Source organism: Homo sapiens, chromosome 2 (genome assembly GCF_000001405.40).
Source record: "Homo sapiens chromosome 2, GRCh38.p14 Primary Assembly".
In the NCBI taxonomy this organism is placed as follows: domain Eukaryota; kingdom Metazoa; phylum Chordata; class Mammalia; order Primates; family Hominidae; genus Homo; species Homo sapiens.
In genome coordinates this window covers 84,278,592-84,304,426 of record NC_000002.12, presented here as the reverse complement: position 1 = coordinate 84,304,426, position 25,835 = coordinate 84,278,592, and the positions used below count along the sequence as shown (strand labels likewise).

Below are 25,835 nucleotides of genomic sequence, written 5' to 3'. Positions count from 1 at the left end.
AGCTGATGACCCATGACATAGCTTTGGGCTGTTAGCTAATATGGTTATTACTTTAATGGGAAAGTCCCAAGCCCTCGTCTTTTTGGTTCATAATGGAAACCATTTTAAGGGAAATAAAAGTTTTCTTTGAGTCAGAAGAATTTTAAAGATGAGATATTATGCAAGAAACCTCTTCTTAGTAGAGTTCTTGGGGCATGAGTGTGTGTGTGTGTCTAAACCTAGGTCTTGGATGCTTGGGAAAGTTAGTGAGGAAGGTGGGTGGCCTCTTCAATCTTCATCAACAGAAGTACTCACAGAGGCACTACTGAAGTAGTTATTTCATTTGAAATTTTTGATTCACTTTGGGAAAAAAATGAACAAATTAGTTAAATTCTGTGTTACAGAAGAGAGAGTGCCACTAGAAAAGAGCTAGAGTTGGGGCCATAGGCATCTAGGTGTAGCCAAATTATGGCTCTGGCTACCTGTGGCCCTTGAGTTCATTCTCTCACTCTAGACTTATGCTGTCCCACTGAGGCAGATTGTCCTTGATGTCTGTCACTTAGGCAGATATCAAGACAGACAGAATGGCTCTATAGTGAGTGTTGTTCATTTTGGGCTATCTACCTTCCATTCTACCTCCCAACAGCATCTTGGTTTCCTTCTTGGGAATTACCTCTGTCTTGCGGAGCAATGAGGGTGGGTGCTGGGCTTCTTGCCACAGACTCCTCTGAGAGATCCCTGGGGATTCCCTTCCAGCCCTGGAGTCCCACAAGACTGCCCCTACTTCAGAAACCAAATCACAAGTCCCAGGTTGTCACCTGTACTTCTAATCAAAAGGGTATAAATGGAAGTTCCCACAACCTCCAGCAAGCAGCATATGACATAAGTTCAGCCAATTAGATCTTCTCTTCCAAAACTGTGACCCTGAAACAGAAGGATCGAAATGGGAGGAATGGTTCGAATCTATGCATCTGTCAGCAGGTTCTATGAGGGGAACAGACAGATGGTTGGATCTTGTCTTCACACTTTCTGGAGCTGTTCCATATTCTGAGAGTTACAAGCCTCGTTCTCCAGCCTCCCCTTCAACCCTGTGAGTACCTCTATAGCCTTTGATTCACTCCTCTTTTGCTTTAGTTGGTCAGCATTTTGTTGTTTGCAACTACAAAACTGTAATTGTAGAAGCCCCTTCACTGATCCCCTTGCCTCAAGAACACCCTGCACATTTCCCCAAATTCCAAGTAGGACCATAACAAGCCCATACCTGAAAGGTTTCAAAGTCTGTTTCCTGTGGAGAAAGCTCATGCTCCTTAGTATGGCAGAGAAGCCTCCCCCTTCCCTTGCCACTAGGTGGTGCTACCTCCTACTCAAAAATCATCTCTCGCTCAGGCCTTTGTCCTCTTATCACAGTTCACCTCACAAGTACCTCACCATTCTGAACTTAGGGCAAGAGTCACCTCCTTTATGAAATCTTTCTTGACCTGCTCCTCCCTAGAATTGACTACTCTGTACACAATTCTGTTTTGATCTGCTTATTTGTATCTCTATGACCCTAGTAACTGAACTTTCTTTGAAGGTGGGCATTATATCACACCCACCTTTGTATTCCAAGAATAGATTTTTCATTTTGTATTTGTGGAATGAATGGATAATGAACAAGTGTTGCAATCATTAAGGCATACTCACACATGTAAGTCTGGCCCCTGTTCTTCTAAATGCCTGGGACAGGGCGTGCACCTGGCTTGTAATCAGTGAAATGATCCTGATGATAGAAAGAGAGTGTAGTGACCTGTTTATAAAGATGGCTGCAACTATTCCTCCCATCCTGTACACATACACCCTGGCACTGTGACTTTACTGCTCCTCCCATGAAAAAGTGGGTTTAATTCTCCTCTAGTTGAATCTGGCCCTGTGTGATGGTCTGACTATGTCCCCCAAAGTTCATGTGTTGGAAACGTAATCCTTAATGCAGTAGTGTTGGAAGGTGGGGCTTAATAAGAGGTGATTGGGTCAGGAGGGCTCTACCCGCATGACTGAATTAATGTCATTGTTGCAGGAGTGGATTAATTATTTTGAGAGTGGCTTTGCTATCTTGGGAATGGCTTTGTTATAAAAGCAAATTTGACTGCCTTTTTCTTACTCTCTCTCCTCGGTGCTCTCTTGTCCTTCTGGCTTCTGCCATAGGATGATGCAGCAAGAAGGCCCTTGCCAGATGCAGGGCCCTTGAACTTCTCAGCCTCCAAAATTATAAGAAATACGTTTCTTTTCTTTATAAATTACCCAGTCTGTAGTATTCTGTTATAATAATGATAAGTGCACTAAGATACCATGTGACTTACTTTACCCAAATGAATGTGTTGAAGTGATATTGTGAGACTTCTGAATCTCAGCCTCAAAAAGTCTTAGGGTTTCTGCAATTGCCCTTTTGGATTGCTGACCCGAGACCACCATGGAAAGCAATTCTGCCCAGCATGCTGGAGCATGAGAATGAAGGCACTGCAGCGAGCAGCCGGCACCAATTTCCAGGCATGTGAACCAGGCCATCTTCTAGCATCTCTCCCTGAGACAAGCGCCAGGTGGCTGCATCCATGTGAATGGCCTCTAGAGACAGCAGCAGAAGTGCTGCCCAGATGCTCCAGCCCAAATTGTTGGCCCAGAGTTGTGAGCAAATAAATGGTGATTGTGTTACGCTGCGAAGTTTTAGGTGGTTTGTTATGTAGGGGTAGAGAATGGATACAGAGATATTGGTAATGAGTTAACATAAAGAACAGGGGTGCATTGTCCCCTGAATGTCCTCTATTCTTCAATAGTTGTGACAATTTGCCTCCAGTGACCATTTAAGATGTTGACCATTGTGGCAAATGGTCACAGTTTATCTCAGGCTCTTTGCTGCCTGGATTAGTGTGCTTGGGCTGCCATAACAAACTGCCACAGGCTTAAATAACAGAAATTAATTTTTTCATAGTTCTGGAGGTTGCAAGTCTGAGATCCAGATGTCAGTCAAGTTGGCTTCTTCTAAGACCTCTCTCCTTGGCTTGTAGATGTCTGTCTTCTTCCAGTGTCTTCACACGGTCCTTTCTCTGTGTCATTTGGTATCCTAATCTCTTCTTCTTATAAGGACACCAGTCATACTGTATTAGGTCCCACCTATATGAACTCAACTTACCTTAATTACCTTTTAAAAGATGCTGCCTCCAAATATAGTCTGTACAGTCTGAGGTACTGGGGGTTAGAGTTTCAACACATAAAATTTGGGGGGGATATAATTCTGTCTAATCATTGCTTAAAGTCTAAGCACTAGCTTATTTTACCATCGACTCCTTGCCTACTGGTAGTTGAAGAAGTGATAGCAACGTGCTTGGACTGACCAACAATTAAGTAGCCAGGAATCATTCTGAGAAATACCCTTCCAGGTCTGCAAAAACCATAAAGCAATTTAGGGAGTTGAGGTCCCTATGTCACCTTCCTATCCAAGTACCATGCCTTTTCTGGCTGTTTGCTGGGGCCGTCTGAACATTTTCTGGAGGCTCACTGCAAAAGGCAAGTAGGGGCAGCCTGAGGTGGGAGTTTGGCAATCCGTAGAGGCTGCCGCAAGCTGGGACCACCTCTGCAGACGCTGTTGGATTCCTACTGTGGGAGATGTCCTCTTGCTAAGAGTAACACATTTCCTCTTGAGTAAGTGACAGGGTGGGAATATAGCTTTTGCCAAACTCTCAAATAGAAAAACAAACTCACATAATTTGGAGAGAAGGAATGTGCTTAAAATCTGATAATTAAATCTGGTCCCTTAGCAGCCAGCCCACACATGCAGACAGTGAAGGCAGAGGTCAGTGGAGGCGGTGGGATGGACACACAGATGTGTGTCTTTGGATGTTTACCTTGATTAATGGATACACATACAGCAAAGGAGGAATTTGGTGGAGGCGGTGGGATGGACACACAGATGTGTGTCTTTGGATGTTTACCTTGATTAATGGATACACATACAGCAAAGGAGGAATTTGGTGGAGGCGGTAAGACGGACACACAGATGTGTGTCTTTGGATGTTTACCTTGATTAATGGATACACATACAGCAAAGGAGGAATTTGGTGGAGGCGGTAAGATGGACACACAGATGTGTGTCTTTGGATGTTTACCTTGATTAATGGATACACATACAGCAAAGGAGGAATTTGGTTAATAGAATTATCTAGATTTCTGAAGTGTAATCAGTTAGTATTTATTGAACGTTTGCTGCCTGCGAAGCCCTGTATTACGGGTTGTGAAGAAAGATGCCAATCTGAACTCTTGCTGTTTAAATAATTTGAGATGCTTGAGTCAATGTTTCTGCCTAATTAAGTCTAAGTTAGCTTGCAAGACTGAACCTGATGACTGGCTTCTAGACAGCCTCAGGGTACTAATTCTTATTCCTAGTGATTATTGGTACAGGGCTGGAGCTGGCTGTGGAAAGATGATTGGGCTGCGTGTCAATGGATCCAATCCATTCTTTCATCTATTTATACACAACAAGCATTCATTGAAGATCTCATTGTGGATGCCAGACCTGTGTTATGCACCCTGAGATCTGCAGAGAATACTGAATCAGGGCTGCTGTGTCGGAGAGCTTAACCCCAGTAGGTTCTTTAGAGACTCAACCTAGAAGTTGCTCATTTGAGTAAATTCTTAAAAATAATAGCTCATGTCCTGTTACTTGTATTACTCTAAAAATGGACTTCAACTTACTAGAAGGATTCATATAAGTTAATACCAGTTAGGTTACATGAAATTTTATGTTATGTGTTCACTTGAATCATACATGTTTCATTGCATAACTATATATAATGATCATTCTCATTAATCAAGTCATTACTGTTACATGCCCATCCTTGCTTACATGTATATACAGGCACAATGACATAGAAACTGACCTGTATAAACATGTCTGTAAGAGAAGAGAAACTTCATATGCTGCCATTCCTAAGAGAGAGTCCACAGGGGCAGCTGCTAGCATGAGATTTTGCAGAGGGGGTCCAGTCTAAGATTCATGGTGGGTGGTCAGCTGCAGGTGCCGGCATTCACTGGGAGAACAGGTTTTTGTGCTGAAAGCACAACCAAGGGCTAGCGCAAGGAGGGAGCAGGATGCAGATGAGATGACAAAATAGAAAAAAGTCTAAAATACGTGGGGCATTCAAGAAGGCCAGAATGATTCTAAGTCTACTAGATGGTGCCTCTTGGGAGGCTGCCTGCTGTAAAGAGCTTTCATCTGGAAAGTAGAAGGACTTTGTTCTGAATACAGAATTTCTGACTCTTCTGCATATTAGTTACCTCCCTCTCTCACTTATTGGGTAGCTTAAATAACATATGTAAAGCACTTACTATAACTTAGAAATCTCTCAACAAATGTTGGTTTCTTTCCTTTTCTGGCTTGAAGCTACTTTTGGTGCCTTAAAGGTGTCACCCAGTAACAGGAAAAAGACAGACAGATCATGCAGTGTCCCCAGAAATGTACATCCCAGTTGAATGAAAGTTGAGAAATGTTTCTCTTTTCCACCACTTTCAGAGCTATTTTACTTCCCGGGGAGCATAAGAAATATCTGGGGAGAACTGAATTCCACATCTCTCTGATCTTAAAGTCGACAGAACTAGGCACGTTTTCTTAGAAGGCTGAGGTGCCTGCAGATGGCAAGTGAAGCATATAAATACTGACACATGCAAGAAAATTATATGGTGAAAAGAAACTCTTCAGGCAGAATATTGATCACGACAGCACACAGCTTCCATGGGGTCATGTTTCTTGGCTGTTGTTAGGGCATGGCAAGCACGATCATTGGGTCTGAGTAAGCCGAGGAGAAACATTAAGGGCAGAAAAAAGACGTAGCTAAGTCCTATAAAGCATTAAGTGTGTGCCAGACATTCTTTCTTCTAGCGCTTTTACATATTAATTCATTTAACTCTCAGAAAAGTGCTCTGGTGGGTACTATTACAGCTGGGAGAGAGGCACAGAGAAGTAAAGCAGACTCTCAGAGTCACACAGCTAGTGAACATCTGAGCCATGACCGAAACGCAGGCGGCCTCCAAGCCAGTGCTCAAGAACATGGTGCTATGGTTCCCATTATAATTTGACAAAGAAGTTTGAGACATTTTAAAATTTAATGCCAGAAGGATAAAAGATCTAATTGTGAAAAGCAGAACTAAATTCTTCTGGAAGTGAGTATGAAACTATATCTTTATGTGCTTGGAGCAGGGAAATATTTCTTAAATAAGACCATGAAAGCACTAACTCTAAAGAAGAGACAGATAAGTTCAACTCTATGAAAACTAAGAACTTCTGTTCAACAAAACACACCAACAAGAAAGTGAAAAGACCAACCACGAGTGTGGGAATGGTATTTCCAACAGTTATCACTACAAAAGACCAGTGCCCAGCACACATGTACAACTCCTTCACCAAGTAAGAAAAAGGCAAACAATACAAAAGAAATACTGGCAAAGGAATCTAATACATTCATCACAAAATGAAAATATAAATGGCCAAGAAATATGTGAGGATGTGTTTAACTTCATTAGTCATTGAGGAAATGCAAAATAAAACCACCGAGGAAATGCAAAATAAAACCGCCAAGGAATATGGCTAAAATTAAACACTCTGAAATACGCTGTGTTGGTGAGGATGCAGAAGAATAGAAATGCTCAGTCACACTGGTAGGAACATAAGATGGTGCAAACGCTGCAGAAAACTCAGTTGAAGATTTTCACACTTTATGAAGAACACCCAGGGCATTCTTTGCTGAGTCTATGCCTGGAAAAATATATGTACAAGTGGACACATGGAAAAAACAAACAATGTTCATAGCAGCTTTGTTTATAATTGCCCCAAACTGGATGCAACATAACACGCATACAACAAAATACTATCCAGCAGTGAAAAGGAATGCACTATAGCTACACACAATGACATGCATGGATTTTACAAACATTAATGAACGTGAATGATTAACATAAGAAAGGCATTGCTTCTGCCATTGCCAATACCAGACCCCACCCCCTCCTAACACCACATTCCTTACTACTGGGGAGGGGCAAGGAGCAGCCTCTGATCCTCACCAACCATAAAGTGGGTGAGGTTCAACGATTTCCCTGGGGCTGGGCATGGTGACTCACACCTGTAATCCCAGCATTTTCAGAGCATGAGGTGGAAGGATCTCTTGAGCCTGGAATTCAAGGTTACAGTGAGCTGTGATCATGCCACTGCACTACAGCCTGGGTGACAGAACGAAACTATCTCTAAAAAAATAAATAAATAAAAAAGAATTTCCCTGGACCTTTCATCCAAGGTCGTGGGCCTGGTCTGTTCTCTCTGAATTGCACAAACCAAATGGGTTATGAAGATGCTCTCAAAAGTGGCATGCATATTTAAAAGGAGTCTTCTGGAGAAAGCAAAAAGAGTGCCACAGTGGGCCACTGGGGATAGACTTGGGGACAAGCTTTCATTTGCAGCAGAAAGAATGGCTTGATCATTGTGAGACCATATAACCTAGAAGCTCTTCTGCAGTCTATTGATAAACTCTGAGACAGGGTTCTAACAGGCACAATTTGAGATATTTCCTCTGGCTTGGAATTCAGAAGAAACACACATGGATGGTTCTAACATGGCAGAGAGTGACTGAACTTTTAGAGGAGTCAATGTTCTTGGAGCAGATAGTTTCCCAATTGGTCCAATTTTCCCTGGAGTTGCAGGAGAGGACAGCAAGGATGGTGTGAAGGGCTGGTTTTTCATAGTTAACCCTCAGCATGTCCTATGTTTTCAACCTTACAAGAAGAAAGGCCCTGGCTAGATAGGTCTCAGGAGCTCAGGGTTCTAGACCTGCCTCTGACATTTTATAAACTTTGGAACTCAATTTCTTTCTCTGTATAATGAGAGAGTTAAACAGAATGATTGTTAAGTCAATGTTAATTCTGAACTACACTCCCCTTTCTCTCTACACATTTCAATGAACATAATTCAAGCCAGCATATAGCTTTAACAACTTTCAATTCATTTGGTTGCCACCAATTCCCTGCCTATGGGTGCAATACCGGTATCTTTTATTGGTTGAGAATCCCCTGGACACCGGCTGGGTGCTTGATTTGGGTTGGAGAATCCCTATGTGGTGATACTTGTTCGATGCACTTTGAATCAGTCACCCAAACTCTATCCAGTTGTGTGACCTTAGGGTGCAGTCTGAAGAGGGCTGTCCCACATACTTAGGTCCTGGACCAGCCACATGGAACAGAGAGGTTTTTGTGGGGCTTTCTTCATTTTGACTGTATTTCTAATGTCAAGGGGACGCAGGTCTGCCCTAAAACCAATGTGGCTGAAATGTTATTCATGTATTGTGACTGAATCCCCCCATGCTTAGGGCAGATATTGCTAATCCTTCACAGTATAACACTCTAATTGATCACAGTTGGCACCCAAGATGGGATCAATTTATCATCTTTGAGAAGGAGGAAGGTATACACATTTAACTTAGCGCAACCTAGTTTAGCTCCAAAATGCAAGGCATACGAGGATCCATAGCTTCTCACTTGATTCTGTGAATTCCCAGGACTTGCTTTTTCAGGGCCTCTTCTGCCTTCTACTTTTGTGACGTGTGCTTTTCCTGTTATACTTAGTATTCACCTTAAATGTCAAATTTTCCCTAATAAATACACATCATGGTTTAGGAAAGGTTTTTGCTGTCTCTTGGGATCCCTCTCTCTGAATTCTCCACCCATCTCCTGACCGTCTCTTCTTCAGGAGGAAACAGATTGTTCTTTCCCTTTCCTTCATGGCATAACAGTTTATTGAACATGGCATAACAGCTTATTGAACACTTCCTTTGTTCCAGGTACTAGTTTTAATTCTTTGCAAGTATTATTTCATTTAATCTTTACACAATCAATGAAAGATCCACTTTCATTATCTGCTGAGGTATAGAAGAGTTAAGTAACTTGTCTAATGTCACACAGTTAACAAGCAGCAGAGTTGGGATTCAAACATACGCAGCCGTGTTTCAGAGCCCATGATCTCAGCCCCGAGACTGTACTGTCTCTTATTAAAGCATATCTTCTAGACAAATGCAGGATTCTTCCTAAGAGGAACTTTGGTGAACAAAAACTTTTTCATCTCTTTCTGTAAATATGCATATTTTAAAATTTTGCCTTGGTTAGTCAACATGGGGAATACTTAACATTGAAAATGCTGCTTTATTGATTCTAAGACACTATAGAAGGGAAGGTGTACCATTATTCTATGTATTAAACTATGACAACAGCATAATGGTAGTCTACCATAACTCATAACTTGGTTACATTGTTTCAAAATTTCTTTTTTTTTTTGAGACAGAGTCTCGCTCTGTCACCCATGCTGGAGTGCAGTGGCGCGATCTCGCTCACTGCAAGCTCCGCCTCCCGGGTTCATGCCATTCTCGTGTGTCAGCCTCCCGAGTACCTGGGACTACAGGTGCCTGCCACCACGCCCGGCTAATTTTTCGTATTTTTACTACACAAATTCCAAAAGCCTACGCAATTCCTCCTGCCTTCTATCTCAGTAACAAAATATTACATGCTACATCCACTTGTAGACAGCTTTCTTTCTTAGGTCCTGAAAAGGGCTTGCTTGTTATTTTCTAAGAAAATGTAAAATTTCAGTTATTCCTTCAATGTCAAGCATTTGTTTTACTAATATCACATTGATACCTCACTGCTCTATTTTTCTCCCTTTCTGAAAACACAATAAGCATTTTGTTTTAATGCTGAATCATTGCATATTTTGGAGACCTTTTTTCCTTTTTATTTTAGTAATGTTTAAACATATAAAAGAGTGGAAAGTATAAAATAATAAACTCTGTGAATCCATTATCTAACTTCAACAATTACTGACATTTTTCTGGTTTGAAGACATCTTGCATAACTAAACTCAGTACATGAGTAAAGAAAATGGGAGTATCTCTGTGCATGTTGGGACATGTGGGCAATGACAATTTTGCTGTAACTATTCTCTGGCTAGGAGGGACTGAGGGCCACCATTACTGCAAAGACAACTCCAATTTCAGGGACATTAAAATGTGAAAAAAAATGTGCATCTTACAATTGATGACATGCAGAAGCAGTGAGGCTAGGCTATTTTAATTATGAATTTGTATCTAATGGGTCAGAATTTTCCTTAATGTTTTGCGACTTTTAAAATATTTATTTTACTGTTTGTCCTTTCAGCCCCTCTCTACCACCAAAACACAAAGAGAAAAGACCATTTCCATGTTTCTTCACCTAGACTTTGGACTTGTCAGATAGGTATTTAGCACTCCACTGATTGCTTTGGTGAGGCCTCGGTGGAGATAGTCCGGTGCCTGTTTTTCCCCAGCTAAGAAAAGAACCTTGTCCCTGGGGCACTGGGCCACTCACACGTGTCTGCCAATGTATGCACAGCTCAGATCTAGCTTGCTCTAGGCTTTTGACCTGCATCCGGGACATGTGCTTCTGTAAACAACAGGGATGCTCACTGTTTGCAGATTTAGTATCCGAACCAGGTACTGAATCCCCTTGTACCCTGTCTTGCCCTGATGGTCTTGTCACTTGGACTCAAGGACTTCCCTCTCTTCTTACTTGCCTTTTTTTCTGGGGTCACTATTCTCTCTCCTGTCAAAATATCTTCTTGGATTAGTATTCTGTTGACAGATATCGTAGGTCTGGAAACAGACACCCAAATCTGTGAATTCTCATGTTAAGGAACTTGTTCTAGGCTTGCAATGCTGAGCATTCTGAGCTGAGTGCCAGAGCCTGGAGAGGACAGTTTGGCCAAGGGATGCCCTCTCCCAGCTCTGACCCAATGGTGTTACCATGTATGGGAAGAACAACATTGGCAGGAAGCAGTCTGGGCATTGGCAGAAACCTCATGAGGAGGAGAGTCAGGAGAACTGAGCCATAATGTCAGAGGGAGTTGTGATAGTGGGAAAGACCCTAATGGGATGTCAGGGAACCGAAGTTGAGATCTTAGCCTTGTTGACTGTTAGCTGTTGAAGCCATCGCAATGACACACACATACCCAATGGGCCTTGCCATTTCCATGCATTCTGACCAACCTCCACTAGCCAGACTCTGCTTCCTTTTGTCTGCAGGCTTTTTCTTTCTTTTTTTTTTTTTTTTTTAAAGGGCCATGAAGTCCACTCTGCTCACATCCTGCCCCAGCAGCCTCAACCAAGGACTCTGCAAGACTGGCATGCAAACACCCAAGCTCCCTTATTCCATGGGCAGGATAACTTCAAGGCCTGCATTGTACTCCATTTCCAGAATTTCCTCAGGGAATTAACTTTCAGTTGTCCCCAAGGCAGCAAGACTGATAAATCATTTTACTGGCTACCTTCTCTTCCTTGGTTCACTTTTCCACTCCTCTGACAGTTTTTCTTGCCTGTCTTAAATACACTACTTGTATTTGATTGCTTGTTTCAAGGTCTGGGGACACACAAACTAAGACAACAGGTAAGTGGGTCATTTAATTTCTTAGGCCACAGGTTTTTCACCTAAGTGATAGAAAAGCTGAGGAGATAGAAAAGCTGCTAGAGTTTCATGAGTTCAGGACAGACTTGTGAGTAGGCAAGGCAAGTTTCACTATCCTTAATTTTTCAGATGGGGAACCAGAGGCCCAGAGGGTTTTTCTGGATTGTTCATGGCCCCTCCTGCTGATAACTGGCCAAGTTGGGGTGGAACACAGACCTTTGAACCCTGAAACCAGTCAGCTTCCATCGCAGTGTCTCTTGGTCTCTACTGTTTCTTTCCAAGAGTAGTTCTTACATTTCCCACAATGCAAGAAAGAAGAGTCCAGTGTCAGAGATAGATTCTGATATCTGGGTTTTGTTCTCTGGACTGTGGTCAGTCTTGGCTGGAGGAGGTAGTCCTGGTGTCTCTGGTACCCTGGATAGGCTCAAAACCTCCTGCACAGATCATCTTCTGGGGCTGAGTTTTCAGGGCTACAGAGCCTTAAGGAATGTATTCATATCTCATGTCCCACCTTCTGGCAGATCCCTGCAGTCCTCTAATGGGTTTTGGGCAATCAATCCCAGGGCCATGGTTGAGAAATTTTTGATGGATAGACTGTGGTGCGCCAATTGAGGGAGTCCCTACCCAGTAATAGCTGTACCTATTAGCTGCAGCAGTGCCTGAAACTCTCACAACACTGTGGAATTCAGGTTGAGTCAACAGAACCCTTGTCAAAGTAGCAGTGCTGCCAGAGAGGGGTAACACAGGAGTGACTTTCAATCTTCATTTAATGCCTTAGCACACATGCAGAGCATTCTGACTCTCAGAGTGGAAGGTACTTCCTAGGAAGTCAAATGATCAGGTTAAAGTAGATCAGTTGCCCAGAGAGAAATTGAGGGAGAAGAACACAGGTAGGGATAGGTATGTTTTGAAGGGATAGAAGGAGTCACGGAAGCCAAAGTATGAGGTTCTGCTCATGTGGGCAACAGAGAAGAGTTGCCTTGTTTAGCAAAAGTGTAGAGAATGAGGGCCCTGGGCATTAGGGGTTGGGAAACAGGGGGCACCTGGGGTAAGGGTAAAAAATATGTAAGGGTCACCAAAGTTTATCCTTCACAGTTTTGCCTCAGATCATCCCTTACCTTGATCTGCCCTGACCACATTTGTCCATCCATTTTGCAAATGTGACACCCCAATTTTTCATCCTTTTTTTTTAATGCTTAAAGGCAATTGTATTCAGTTCCTTTCCATGCAGCACACAATAAGGTTATCTATGTGCTTATTTCTTTTCCAAATCAACAGTTCGGGACAACATTTCAGGATCCACTCATCCTCCACGGTCAGCTATCTTGCAATGTGTTCTTGTAAGTGTCTTGCATAGGGGTAGAGGGACCTTCTTGATGACCTACAGACTGACTAAGTAGGGGGCGTACTGGAAGAAGAGCTAAGGACTATTGTCTCTTCTGCTGCCATCAAGCTCATGGTGCCACGTTAACTTGTGCCAACAGATGCTTATAGAAGCCAGTCAGGCTCATGGTGCCACATTAACTTGTACCAACGGATGCTTATAGAAGCCACTCGGATTTGCCACAGCAGGGAGGAAGGCATGGGAGAAGAGGAGGAGGGACTCAATGTCCTGTGATGGAGTGTAGAGGCTGCTGACTGGAAAAAACCAGGAACAATGAAAATGAGGTATCTTCTTTAGGATGCCATGCCAAGCAGAAAGCCTCCGAAAAATCCCCCAGTCACTAGAACATTTTTCTTCACAAATGACACCACCTCCTCAGCTTTGCTCCTGACCTGGTTAGGTATCTGAGTGCTCTTAGGGATCTTCAGCTGCTCTTTGGCTTTCTTCATGTCCTTCTCCACTCGTTGCCAATCAACTTTGATGTACCCAGAATGGTTTGCAAGCTGAAGGAGAAAAAATCCACCTCCCACAGCTGTTGCAGCCAACTTTCCAACCTTCTGGAATATAAAACCCGTGCACCATCCAGTGACACCTCCAATGAACAGGTGGGTTGCCACGCTATACTTTTCGGCTGAGAGTCCAGATTCTGGCCCAAACAGCTTACGCCACCACGGCTGCTGCTTAGCAAATTCTGCAAGGTCCACTGACTCAATATCTCCCTCAAAGTTTCCTTGACTGGACGCGGCCATTTCGGTGAGCTAGTCTTGCGAGGACACACGCAGGGGATCTGCGAGGTTACGCTGCGGAGTGGCGCGCTGTCGTGGCCACCACCCGGCTTCCTGCACGTGGGGCAGATGTTTCCATTCCCACCGCGGCCGCGGAAGAGGGCGGGCCTGACGTGCTGCGACCGCTTCCTGTCTCCGCAAGCGGCTGTGTCACAAAGTTCAGCGGGCGGCATCACAAGCCCCGTAGCCCCGCCCAACAGATGCCATCCTGGTTTTTTGTTTTTTTTAGAAGCAGTGTGGAATGGTGGAAAGAGCAATGGACCACATGTCCAAGGAGAAGACCTGAGTCTGTTTTCTCATCTATAGAATAAGAAAAATACAGTATTATTGTGAGGATCCAATAAAATTATGTGTGTGAAATATTTTGTAAATTGCAAAACTCCTAGGCAAATGTCCAGGTGAATTATCTTTGAAAACACTTCCCTTCACACCGTCGACAGTCTCCCCTTTTGAGACTCAAAGATTTTTGTAGTATATTTGGGGAAACCTGTAGCCTCTCTGCATTTTGCAAAACCTGAGTGAGAAATTACTTCACCAGGCCTAGCATTTACTTTTTCTCTTGGACTTACCTGAAAAGAGCTGTCCGAAGTGTCATCTGTGGGAAGGTAAAGAGAAGAGGGGAATATGCTTTGGGAGGCAGATGGGGCTGGGCTGACGACCCTTCAAACATGAAAAAGCTGTGCTGCCTGGGACCTTTTGTGTGGTGCTTTCTCAGCCTGCAACAAAAAGCCATTCCCAATTTGTAGGGTGTGGAATGGCAGGGGTTGTTGCCTGGGAACCCTCTGCAAATGTTAAACCCATTATCGGGCTGAGGAAGGCATGGTTCTAATTGAACTTTTCCTCCCACCTTCTGTTCTGCAGCCATAACAGGACTGCTTGTGCTATTGTGGCCTTTTTACCAGGGCTGGACTGGAAAAAAAAACAAATTTTATCCAATGCAATATATGAACAGGAATTAAGTCTGAACTTTTGAAGTATATAGTTTTTATGTCCTGGTATCTTCTTGCTGCTGGAATTTCTTGTGCTCATCTTAAGGATAACATGACAACAAGTCTTCATCTAAGTAAAAAGGAAAATAAAAGCGAGAAAGGCAGAGAGAGAAATGGGCAGAAACTTTGATGGGTAGATCTCACTTTCCTTGTAACTTTATAAATGAGTTCCAGTTCTCTTTCATCTTAAAGGCTGCCCCCTTCAGCCCCTGCAAAACCCTTTTTTGACACTGAATTGTTTCCTTCTTCTTATGGTTAAGCTGTTCAAAAATAATCTCTGTTCATCATCTCCACCTCTTTACTGCACATAACTTGCCCACCTACTCTGTCTGCCTTCTGCCTTGCCCAGTTCACTGGCCTTGCCCTCCTGATATCACAATTGATCTCTCAGTTTTAATCCTTTTCCTCCCTCTGGCCCCACTTCTGCTACTTTATTTCAGGCCACTGTCGTCTCATGGCTGAATTACTTCAACAGCTTTCTAATGGGTCCTCTTGTCTCCTATCTTGCCCCTCGCTAATCCATTTTTTTTACTGCTGCCAAAGGGATGCTCAAAGGCACTTCAAGGCTTGTCAGGATGCTCCAAATCCCCCATCCTGGCTTACTAAGCCATTTGAAGTGGCCAGTGCCCACCTGTGGTCTTATGGCCTGCCCAGCCCTTCTGGTGTTCTGCCCTCCAGCCATACTGATCTGTTTGCAATTTCCCTAAGGAGCTCTGCTGTTGCTCTTCTCAGGATCTTTACACTGATTGCCTTCTCTGTCACAAATGCCCTCTGCCTTTGCTGGACTGATTCCTATTCATCTTTCCAGCATCAGCACAGCCTCCCTTGTCTCCTGGAAGCCCTCTCGAGTCCTGGGAGTCTTGATCTTGGGTCCTTCCCATGTTCCCTTCCAGCATGATATGTTTTCCACATTCTTTCCCACTGTCTTTTTCTCTTCTCTTGACCATCTCCCTTTCTAGAGACTGGACACCTGAAGGCCTCAGAGGCAGGGACTAACATTAGGGTTCATGCATAAGTGATATATTAAGGAAGGGCTCCCATGGAGCCTGGTAAGGAGTGGAGGTGCAGGACAGTGGAAGGGAGGAAACCCAGCAAGAGGGTGTCCTCAGGCAACATCCTGAGGGTGGTAGCTACAGCCTGACCCTGCAGGGGAGCTTTGGAGTATAAGTTACACCTTGGAATTGCCCATGGAAGGCCAGGGAGATGGACTGCAGTATCCCAGTACCTATGGTTACTGGTCAATGGCTGCCCTGGGGGAAGTAAATTCCTAGGATTCCAGCTCTTCTTTGTGTGAGTGTGTGTGGACAAGCCTCTGAATAGCTGGAGGGGTGACCTTACTGCTGAGGCATACTGAAGGTGGGTGGTGTGCAAAAATGGCAGAAAGTGAACCCCGGGGTCCTGGGTGGAGCATTGACGTTGTCATTAGAGTCCTGCTCTTTCCATGGCTTGTTCCCGTGCCCACAATGCCTGGTACATAGAAGATGTGCAGCAATTTTTTTTTACATAAATGGATAACAGATTTCCTTTCTCAAATCAATGACTTGTTCGTGCTTTTTTCTTTTTCTTTTTCTTTTTTTTTTTTTTTGAGGTGGAGTTTCGGTCTTGTTGCTCAGAGTGGAGTGCAGTGGTGCGATCTTGACTCACTGCAACCTCTGCCTCCTGGGTTCAAGCGATTCTCCTGCCTCAGCCTCTCAAGTAGCTGGGACTACAGGTATGCGCCACCATACCTGGCTCATTTTGTATTTTTAGTAGAGATGGGGTTTCGCCTTGTTGGCCAGGCAGGTCTTGAGCTCTTGACCTCAGGTGATTCACCTGCCTCGGCCTCCCAACGTGCTGGGATTACAGGCGTGAGCCACTGCGCTTGGCCTGTTTGTGATATTTTACACTGTTCAAGTCTCCCTCCTTGAAAACCCCCATTCCCTTGGCTTTGAATCTCACTCTCGGTCCCTTTCTCCATGCTGCTTCCTTTCTTGGCTCATTGTTCCTGTTTCATTTTTTCGCATGGCATTGCCAGGGGTTCTGTCCTCGACCACCGTCTCAGTTTACTCGCTGTGAGTGCTCTTGCCTGTATTTATGTGTAGATTAAGTGTGTTCTATATGCCCAATTCATAATTCCTCCATTCATTTATTCATTCATTTAACAAGTATTTCTGAGAACCTGGAATATGCCCACCACTATTCTAGGTTCTGGAGATATAAGACTGAACAGATCATACTAAGATCACTGCTTTCATAGAGCTTGCAGTCTGGTAGCTGGGTGGGAATGGGGGAAGACAATACATAATAATCAAAATAAGAAAATTATGTAGTACATTATAAGAAAAAAGGAAATGCAAAGCAGGATGGGCAGTATTGGAAGGACTGCGTACATCTCGGGCAGGGGGGATGTTTGCAAGTATAGATAGGGCAGTCTGGGTAGATTTCATTGAGATGACAGCATTTGAGTACTCTGAAGGAGCCAAGGGGGTAAACTGTGCAGTTCTCTGTGGGGAGAACATCCACTTGGAGGGAACTACAGTGCAAATTCCTTGAGTTGTATTCTTGACGTGTTCAAGGACACGACAAGGAAGCCAAGGAAGAAAAGTAGGAAATGAGATCAAATGGAAATGTGGGGTGAGTAGATTATCTTAGGGTCCTATGAGCTGTGACAAGGACTTTGGCTGTTGCTCATAGTGACAGGGAAGCATTGCTGGGCTTTGGGCAGAGGTGTTACCCATCTAATTTACATCTCTCTCCTGCCTCCAGACTGGTATATTCGATTGCTTTTTGGAGATCCCGTGGGCAGCTTAAGTTAAATGCTCAGTCCTCATTATTTGCAAATTTTGCAATTGGGAATGTACCTACTAGGTAAAATTTATTTGTAATCCCCAAATCAATATGTAAGATGCTTTTGTGGTCATTTGTGGCCATGCATAGAGTGATGAAAAGCTTGAGTCACCTGATAGCACATTCCCAGCTAAGGCTGAACAAAGTAATGCTCTGACTTCGTGTTTCAGCTCTCACACTGTAAGTAAATGCTCTTTTTGTGGTCCATCGAGTGCCACTTTTTTCTTTTTTGCATTTTTATGCTTTTCTTTGGTTATTTCACTATTTAAAATGGCCCCCAATCATAGTGCTGAAGTGCTGTCTAGTGTTTCTAAGCACTAGGAGGCTGTGATGTGCCTTATGGAGAAAATACATATGTTAGATAAGCTTCATTCAGGCATGAGTTATAGTGAGGCTGGCTGTGAATTCAATGTTAATGAATCAACAGTCTATATTAAACAAGATGCCTTTAAACAAAAACACACATAACACAATGTTATGTATTGATGAGTTGATGGAAAATATTTTGACTAGAGGCTTCTCAGAACCTATCCCTGTATTTGCTTCAGGAGCAATGGTTCAGTATTCACAATGCAGCGTTCACAGTGACTACAGAATATAGTTACTGTAAATAACAAGAATCAACTCTGTGTTTGTAATACACTGAACTCCTTGTCTTTCTTCCAGACAGGGTTCTCCTTTTGTATTATTAATCTTGATAATTTTAGCTCTGCCATTCACTGACTCACCCCAGCCAGATAGAAACTTCCTTACTCCTCACATCAAACAAGTTTGAAGCTCCCCCTCAAACATCCTCTTCTCTCCATTCCCATTGTCACAGCCTTAGTTAGATCTTCATCTTTTGCCGAGACTGATATGTCAACCTCCTAACTGATCTCTCTGTCTCTGATCTGGCCCCCTCTGATCTCTCCTTCATTCATCTTCTAGACATACCCTTCTGAAATGCAGCTCTGATCGCATTATTTCCATGCACAAGCCCTTCAGGGAGTTCTCTTTTTGCCAATAGCAGTGATCTGATCTGGTACTCATTGCTAGATACCTACTGAATATCCACCTCCCAACTTTTTTCAGGTGGTAGTGTGCCCCATTCACTTCCTCAGACTCCTTTATAGCATGTGGCCCAATACTCAACAACAAGTTATATGCAGAAATTACTGGGTGGCGCTGATAGAAAGTGCTTTAAAGAGGATAGACTTGACTGGCATTAACCTTTTGTCCTTTATCCTTCTTTCTTTTCCCTGGGACATGATTTTGATGTGGCAGCCATCTTGCTGGTCGTGAGAATAGAAGAAAAACACAAAGGATGGTGTTTCATTTGTTTATTGCAGTGCAACAAATCATCAAAAACTTAGTATTCTGAAGCAACTACCATTTATTTCCTCACAATTCTGCCTTCTGAATTGGGCTAAGCTGAGTGGTTCTTCTGCACCTCTTGCCCTAGGGTCATCTATGTGGCTGGTCCTGGATGGCTTCAATCATATGTATGTGCCTCTTTTTCCATCTGGTTTCTCCTTCTCTAGGAGACTAGGGCATCCTTACATGATTGTTTCAGGGCTGAAAAGTGAGGGCAGATGTTGCAAGACTTGTTTAGGGATATGGCTCAGAAATCACACAAAGAAACTCTGCCATATTCTATTGGTCAAAACAAGTCACATGACCAGCTCAGATTAATGGGCCTGTGTTCCAGGATGGGAGCCATGGTTATGGGCATTTTGCAACCAGTCTGTCATAGAGCACAAAATCAGAATGGGAAGAGCCTGGATCCCCATGGTTACTGTGAGTCATAATGCCAGTGCTGGCCTTATTATTATATAAGAACTATAAATCTTATATGTGTAGCTTCTAGAGAGGTTGTTTTTGTCACATGGAGCTGGCAGTAATGGTGCTGGCCTTGGAGGTTGAGAAGAGAAGGGACGGATAGAAGATAAAATATTTAGGGGGTAGAATTCGCAGAATCCAGACATCCCCTGATAGTATTTTGAGAATTTTCCATAGACACCCTGTGTTAGTCTGTTTTGCATTGCTTGTTAAGGAATACTGGAAGTGGAGTAATTTATAAAGAAAGAAGGTTTATTTTGGCTCATGATTTTGTAGACTGTTCAAGAAGTGTGGTGCCGGTATCTGCTTCTGGTGAGGGCCTCAGGGAACTTTTACTCCTGGCTAAAGGCAGAAGGGAAGCAGGCATGTCACATGGTAAGAGACAGGGTGAGAAAGAGGTAGACAGATAGAGAGGTAAGGAGAAGGGAGGGAGGTGTCACACTCTTAAACAATCAGCTCTTGCGTGAACTACCAGAGCCAGAACTCACTCATTACTATGGGGATGGCACCAAGTCATCAAGTCATACATAAAAGATCTGTCTCCATGACCCAACACCTCCCACCAGGTCCCACCTCCAACATTGGGGATCACATTTCAACATGAAACTCAAACAAATATCCAAACTGTATCACATCCCCAAGTTTATTTCTGATTACCAGTTTCAAGCTGAACACATTTCTAACTGGTAAAAGTCATTTCTAACTATGATGTTTTGTATCCTGGTGCTTCCCATCAGTTGTTGAGATCCCATGGGTAATTAATTATTACAAAAAGGTGCCAATACTTATTAATGGTTCATAGCACTTAAAAAAAAAGGTACATTCGCACTTTGGGAGGCTGAGGCAGGTGTATCATCTGAGGTCAGGAGTTCAAGACCAGCCTGGCCAACATGATGAAACCCCATTTCTACTAAAAATACAAAAAATTAGCAGGGCGTGGTGGTGGGCACCTGTAATCCCAGCTACTTGGGAGGCTGAGGGAGGAGAATCACTTGAACCCAGGAAGTGGAGGTTGCGCTGAGCCGAGATTGCGCCATTGCACTCCAGCCTGGGCAACAACAGCAACACTCCATCTCAAAAAAAAGAAAGAAAAAAGAAAAAATAGCGTACATTCAAGATACCAGTCTTGAATTATCTACCATTTTCTTAATGAGGAAAAAAGCAGAAAAACTGTCCTAAGGAGCAAAGCCATTGTTTTTTCCTTGAAGCTGGTGTAGTTTTGTTAATATTCGTGTGACTATTTGAGTCCCTGTTGGCTTTATTGTATGCTCTATAATTCTCACCCCCAAACCAGACTTTCCCCTATTCATTTCTGAGAGCCTCCAGCAGGGCTTCTAAGTGCATGCAAATCACTCTCAAATATTATTTACTACTGTTGCTTCCTAAGGCAGGACCTATAGTCCCGCAGATCTGCCAGGCTCCAGGCGATACTGCTCTCAGCTGGAACTGTTTTCCCCTTGATGTTGCCTAGCAGCCTGCAGACCTGGAGGTCCCCTGATGATGTTCTCCACCTCCTACCATCATGCAGCATTTATTGTTCCTCCTCACACCCCCAGCACGTGTTGAATACCCCTTTCCTTGTTCAGATTAAAAAGGAAAGTGATCCTTTCTGGAGACACTTGCTAAATGCAAAAGTTTTACAGCAGAAAACTCTTGTGCTTCCTGTTGGAAATAACTATAAGACACACTCTGTCTTTCTCTCTCTCTCACTGTCTCTGATGGGCTTCAGAAGCACTGCTCTGAGTTGAACGCTGTTCTTAACACTGTCTTCACCAGGGGAGCTGAAATATCTGCTCCACTGCTGAGATTTTAATCAACCTAGTGCAGGAAACCAACACCTAGAAAGGCCCTTGTGCACTGAGAAAGGTGTTTCTTCTGTTTTATTCAGAAATTGTTCAATACTGGTGTTGTTTGGGTCCTAAATATTTTCAGTAAGTGATATAAGTGATACAACTTTTTCTTTTAAGTATAAATTTGTTTTAAGTTTTTAGAATAACTACTTCAGGTATGTGATTAAAAACAAAAAAATCCCAGCAGTACGAAATGATACAATGAAAAGCAAGTCTCTCTAATCCTGAACACCAGTTCCTCCATCTTATTTACTTGAACAAACTTCCAGAATAGTTTGTGCACTCTCATAAATATATGGTCCAGTCCTTTCAATTAATGAACACGGCTCAGGCTGATCTGGAGGCCTGGGTTAGAACAGGGTTTGAAAGAGGCCGCCTCACCAAGTCCAGATTCCCACTCTACTCTGGTCCTCAGGCTGCGCTGTTTGACTCAGCCAGCCTCCTCATTCCTTAATGGAAACTTCTTTTTTTTTTTTTTTTGAGACGGAGTCTCGCTCTGTCGCCCAGGCTAGAGTGCAGTGGCGCGATCTCGGCTCATTGCAAGCTCCGCCTCCCGGGTTCATGCCATTCTCTTGCCTCGGCCTCCTGAGTAGCTGAGACCACAGGCCCCCACCACCATGCCTGGCTAATTTTTTATATTTTTAGTAGAGACGGGGTTTCACCGTGTTAGCCAGGATGGTCTCAATCTCCTAACCGCGTGATCCGCCCGCCTCGGCCTCCCAAAGTGCTGGGATTACAGGCGTGAGCCACCGTGCCCGACCCTGGAAACTTCTTTACACTAATAAACTTCTTTATTCCATCTGTTGTCTTTTGAGGTCATATCAATCATGTTTGCACATGTCCAAACCCCAATAGGGGACAGGGTTTAAGCATTTTTTACCAGGAGGTTTGTGAGCCCCTATGTGGGGAGAAATCACCTACTTCCAGCCTTCAGCTCCATCCGAGAACAAGCTCCAGGTGATCCAGAGTGTCTCAATACACCTCTCTCAGATTCCTCACTTACCTAAGCCCCAGCTGCTCCACCGGCCTCATTCCCCGTCACACCCCTCAGACCACATCTCACCCTAGCAATACTCCTTGCAATTCTCTCAGCCCAGAGCTTTCACACATCTGCCTTTGCCAAGGCTTTTCCTTTCCCTAGAATATTTTTTGGGGTTCTCTTTGGAAATTCCTATCTTTCGATCAAGACTAAACTTAATCGTCACCTTTTCTGTAACTGTTCTCAATGATTAATTTTCCCTCTTGACCCCTGAGCTGAAGTCATCATGTCGACTTTGGTCAGTATTGTCTCTAGCACTTCTGTTATTCAGTCTAGTACAACATGCTCATTTTTATTTTATTTTTTTCTGATGTTTTTCTCTATGAGCAACTTGAGAATAAGAACTTGATGTTAAAATTTATGCCTGCCACATAGATGGCATTTCACAAATGTTTCTTAAATGAGCTCTTAAACATAATATATAATTTTTGTACTTAGGCAGCTCTGGTGCTGTGGAAAGGGTTTTGAATTTGGAATCAGTTGAAAGAAGTTGAGAACTGTTGCCCTGCAGGCTGCAGCCCAAAGTCCTTTGCATGCAAGTTGGCGTCCCCTGTATCAGGAGACCTGGCTCTAAATCCTCAGCCGCTTAGTAGCTGCAACAGTAGGTAGTCACTTAATCTCACTGAGCTTTGGTTTTTCTGTCTGAAAAAAAGAGGGTTTGTACACCTTGCAGAGTTCTGAGAAATAATTGTGACATGAGAAGCTGCCCAGGAGAGTGCCGGCCACCTACTGAGTGTTCAGTACATGTTAATGGAGTGAATGAATAAAGGAGAAAAACTTACATAAAAACCAACAGGAACAACATTCTGATTTGCAAATATATTTACGTGCTTCTACATTTTATTTTTGTGCATGCGCACCCACACACAAACACAAAGACTCTCTCTTCTCTTGTATATACAGGTCCAGTTCCTAGTTTATTTATTTACTTTTGGTTGGTTACACAACAGACCTACAGGAAGTAGTCTTGCAGGTGACAGAGAAGTTGAGGCAGCTTTGGTTGCAGTTATGACATTATGCTCCAGTGACATTTCATTTAATTTCATGTCTATTTTTTTTTTAAGTCCAAAGCTGTTACATATCTTTCTTATATGTGTTCAGCTGGTGTGTGCTACTTACCAGGATTTTGTCAGCTGTTTTGATGGCTGCTGTCCACATTAGTATTCTGTAGGCCTAGGATTTCTAGTCTTCCTGGAAAGCCCTGATATCTTATCATGTGGACGCAGGAAGTTTTTTTTTTTTTTTCAGTGCTTACTTTGCTTCCATTTTTAGGTATGATTGAATTCTGTAAAAGCCTCTCAGTGAAAGAATGTCTTTTGATAAGCACTTGAAATCCTCCATTTGTCAGATTTCACTTTTAGTTTGTGTTTGGCCACCTTATACCACAAAGGCACTCTGGGCTCTCAGTCTCTCTCTCATACGTGTGTATACCCATGTGTCCTCTCAGTGCCTGGTCCCAGTCCACATCACAGCAGCATTGACTTACTCCCAATCCATTCTCCATCTCCGAGCATATTTCAGGAAGAGTGGACCTTCTCATATCTACTCCTGTAATTGTTCATTTTATGGGTCAACTTGACTGGGCTAAGGGATGCCCGGATGACTGGTAAATATTATTTCTGGGTGTGTCTATGAGGGTGCTTTCAGAAAAGATTAGCATTTGAATTGATGGACTGAGGAAAGAAGATCACTGACATGAGAGGGCATCATCCCGTCTGTTGAGGGCCTGAATAGAACAGAAAGACAAAGGAAGGGCAAATTTGCCCACTCTTTGTTTGAGCTGGGACATCTATCTTCTCCTGCCCTTGGACATCAGTGCTCCTGCTTCTCAGGCCTTCAGACACAGCTCAGGACTTACCCTGCTGGCTTTTTTGGTTCTCCAGCTTGAAGACAGCAGACGGTGGAACCTCTCAAACTCCATAATCACATGAGTCAATTTCTATAATGAATCTCTCTTTCTTTCTCTATCTATACAGCTATATATCTATATCTATATCTATCTATGCTACTGGCTTTGCTTCTCTGGAGAAGACTGACAAATACAGCTCTTGAATTGATCCACATTTAGCCTGCTTCTCCACTATCAGTCTCAGGTCCATCTTAAGTCTCAGCTCTTGTCCACCGATAACCTGACTTTTGGGAGCTACAGTCCTCCCTCAATAAGATGCTACTATCCTGACACTGTTCCCAGTGACAGAGTGTATTTGGGGGACAGTGTGTGGGAAGGTCATGTCCCCACTGCATACATCACACACTGCCCATTCTGTGCTTCTCCTTAATACCACCATTGAAACACCAAGAGTCTCAGACTGAAATCTTAGGGCTACTAAGAAGAATTATAGCACAGATCAGAAATATCTTCAAACTCTTCCCCAAATCATCTGGTCATCACTAAAAGGAATCTCTCTTTGATCATACCTCACTTGAGGCCCCAGCCTGCTAGTGGGGTGGTGAGTTAAAGCTTTCTTCTCATAGATAATTTCTCTGCCTTCTTCATTATGGTACTCAGAGCCTCCACCCCTGCCTGTCATGTTGTTCAAACAAAAACTCAAATAGTACTCCATTATTACTCAGAGCTGTTTGTCTTCCCTCTGTCTTAGCCACTCAGTCCAGCACAAGACAGCCCCCATTTTCACAAGCAAAATGCCCACCGAGATGTCTTATTAAACGAAAGAGCAAACTTTCCTGCTTCTTTGAATTTTATCAGAATATGAAAATGATTACAGCTAGTTCCTATATTTAAAGTCAGTAACATGTTTTCCCATATGGCACACAGATCCCTACTCTCTCAAATATTCACCCTCGGTTTTATGTTCCAAATGTTTTCCCTATTGGTCCTTTAAAAAAGACACTTAAAGCCCACTAATCCATTGCCATTTCACTTATAACAGATCTACTAATTCATAGCTATTATAATAATTATGGTAATTGTTATTAATGGCAAAGGGGAATTATTGAATTATTATTAATTCCTGGCATATAATGCATCTGTTATAAATAGTTGTGATAACTCATAATATATAATCATCATGCAAGAGATGAATCTCTTTAGAGTCCCATACTTAGAGTGGTATTTAGCTGACAGAATATACTGGAGCAGTGAACCAGCCAGCGCACATTTTGATAGGTCCATGGTGACTATTCTGATTGATAGGTGCCCTCCTTAATTGCCCTTGTCCATGCACATGTCTGGCATCTCATAAACAATTGGAAATAAAATCAGTCAAGCTTGTAACTACTTGGAATCCATAAGTCTAAGGATTAATTTATTTTAATTACTGAATTGGCTTAACCAAACAGGTACTTAAGTATCAGAATTATGTTTAAGACTTACTGAATGTGGATAACTCCATTCTAAGGGTAGGGACTGTGTGTTCAGGCAGCTGAAGACCTAGCTGGACAGACAGGACCACCCCACATAATGAGTACTCTATGCTTCTGTATGCTATGCTTGTTTTCCCTGGCCTTATCTATTTTTGGGATACCCTTGGCTGCCACTGATCATGACTGCAGTTTTTGACTCTGATAACTTGCACAATTTGATTCCCAGGGCTCTTTACGTCTATCTTGGGTTTCTGGTGGCTCACTCACTTGTTCAGTGGTATTGCTTCTCAGTGGCTCCTGTAGTTTCCTGTCCCTGTTCCTTTGATCTTGTCTGAAGGGCCCTGC

The 25,835-nt window shown here is 43.1% G+C and overlaps 1 long non-coding RNA gene and 1 pseudogene across 2 annotated transcripts in view, besides 3 other annotated features; one reads left to right on the top strand and one right to left on the bottom strand.

The window, feature by feature from the left end:
* Positions 1–25,835, top strand: part of LOC107985905 (uncharacterized) — a 134,425-nt gene that overhangs the window by 26,431 nt on the left and 82,159 nt on the right. The gene's annotated exons all lie outside the window — the stretch shown is intronic.
* Positions 1,393–1,442: an enhancer, noted in NCBI's record as "active region_16098". NCBI's record gives its function as "activates an Ori minimal core promoter by ATAC-STARR-seq in GM12878 lymphoblastoid cells {active_cell/tissue: GM12878}" and the evidence as "EXISTENCE:reporter gene assay evidence [ECO:0000049][PMID:35858748]".
* Positions 6,347–7,546: an enhancer, noted in NCBI's record as "CDK7 strongly-dependent group 2 enhancer chr2:84524005-84525204 (GRCh37/hg19 assembly coordinates)". NCBI's record gives its function as "activates an origin of replication core promoter dependent on BRD2, BRD4, P300/CBP, MED14 and CDK7 cofactors, with strong dependence on CDK7, by STARR-seq in HCT116 cells {active_cell/tissue: HCT116}" and the evidence as "EXISTENCE:reporter gene assay evidence [ECO:0000049][PMID:35650434]".
* On the bottom strand, positions 12,227–13,745 carry FUNDC2P2 (FUN14 domain containing 2 pseudogene 2; annotated as a pseudogene). Its single transcript, NR_003663.1, has one exon. The product of NR_003663.1 is annotated as an FUN14 domain containing 2 pseudogene 2 (transcript).
* Positions 13,167–14,366: an enhancer, noted in NCBI's record as "BRD4-independent group 4 enhancer chr2:84517185-84518384 (GRCh37/hg19 assembly coordinates)". NCBI's record gives its function as "activates an origin of replication core promoter dependent on BRD2, P300/CBP, MED14 and CDK7 cofactors, and independent of BRD4, by STARR-seq in HCT116 cells {active_cell/tissue: HCT116}" and the evidence as "EXISTENCE:reporter gene assay evidence [ECO:0000049][PMID:35650434]".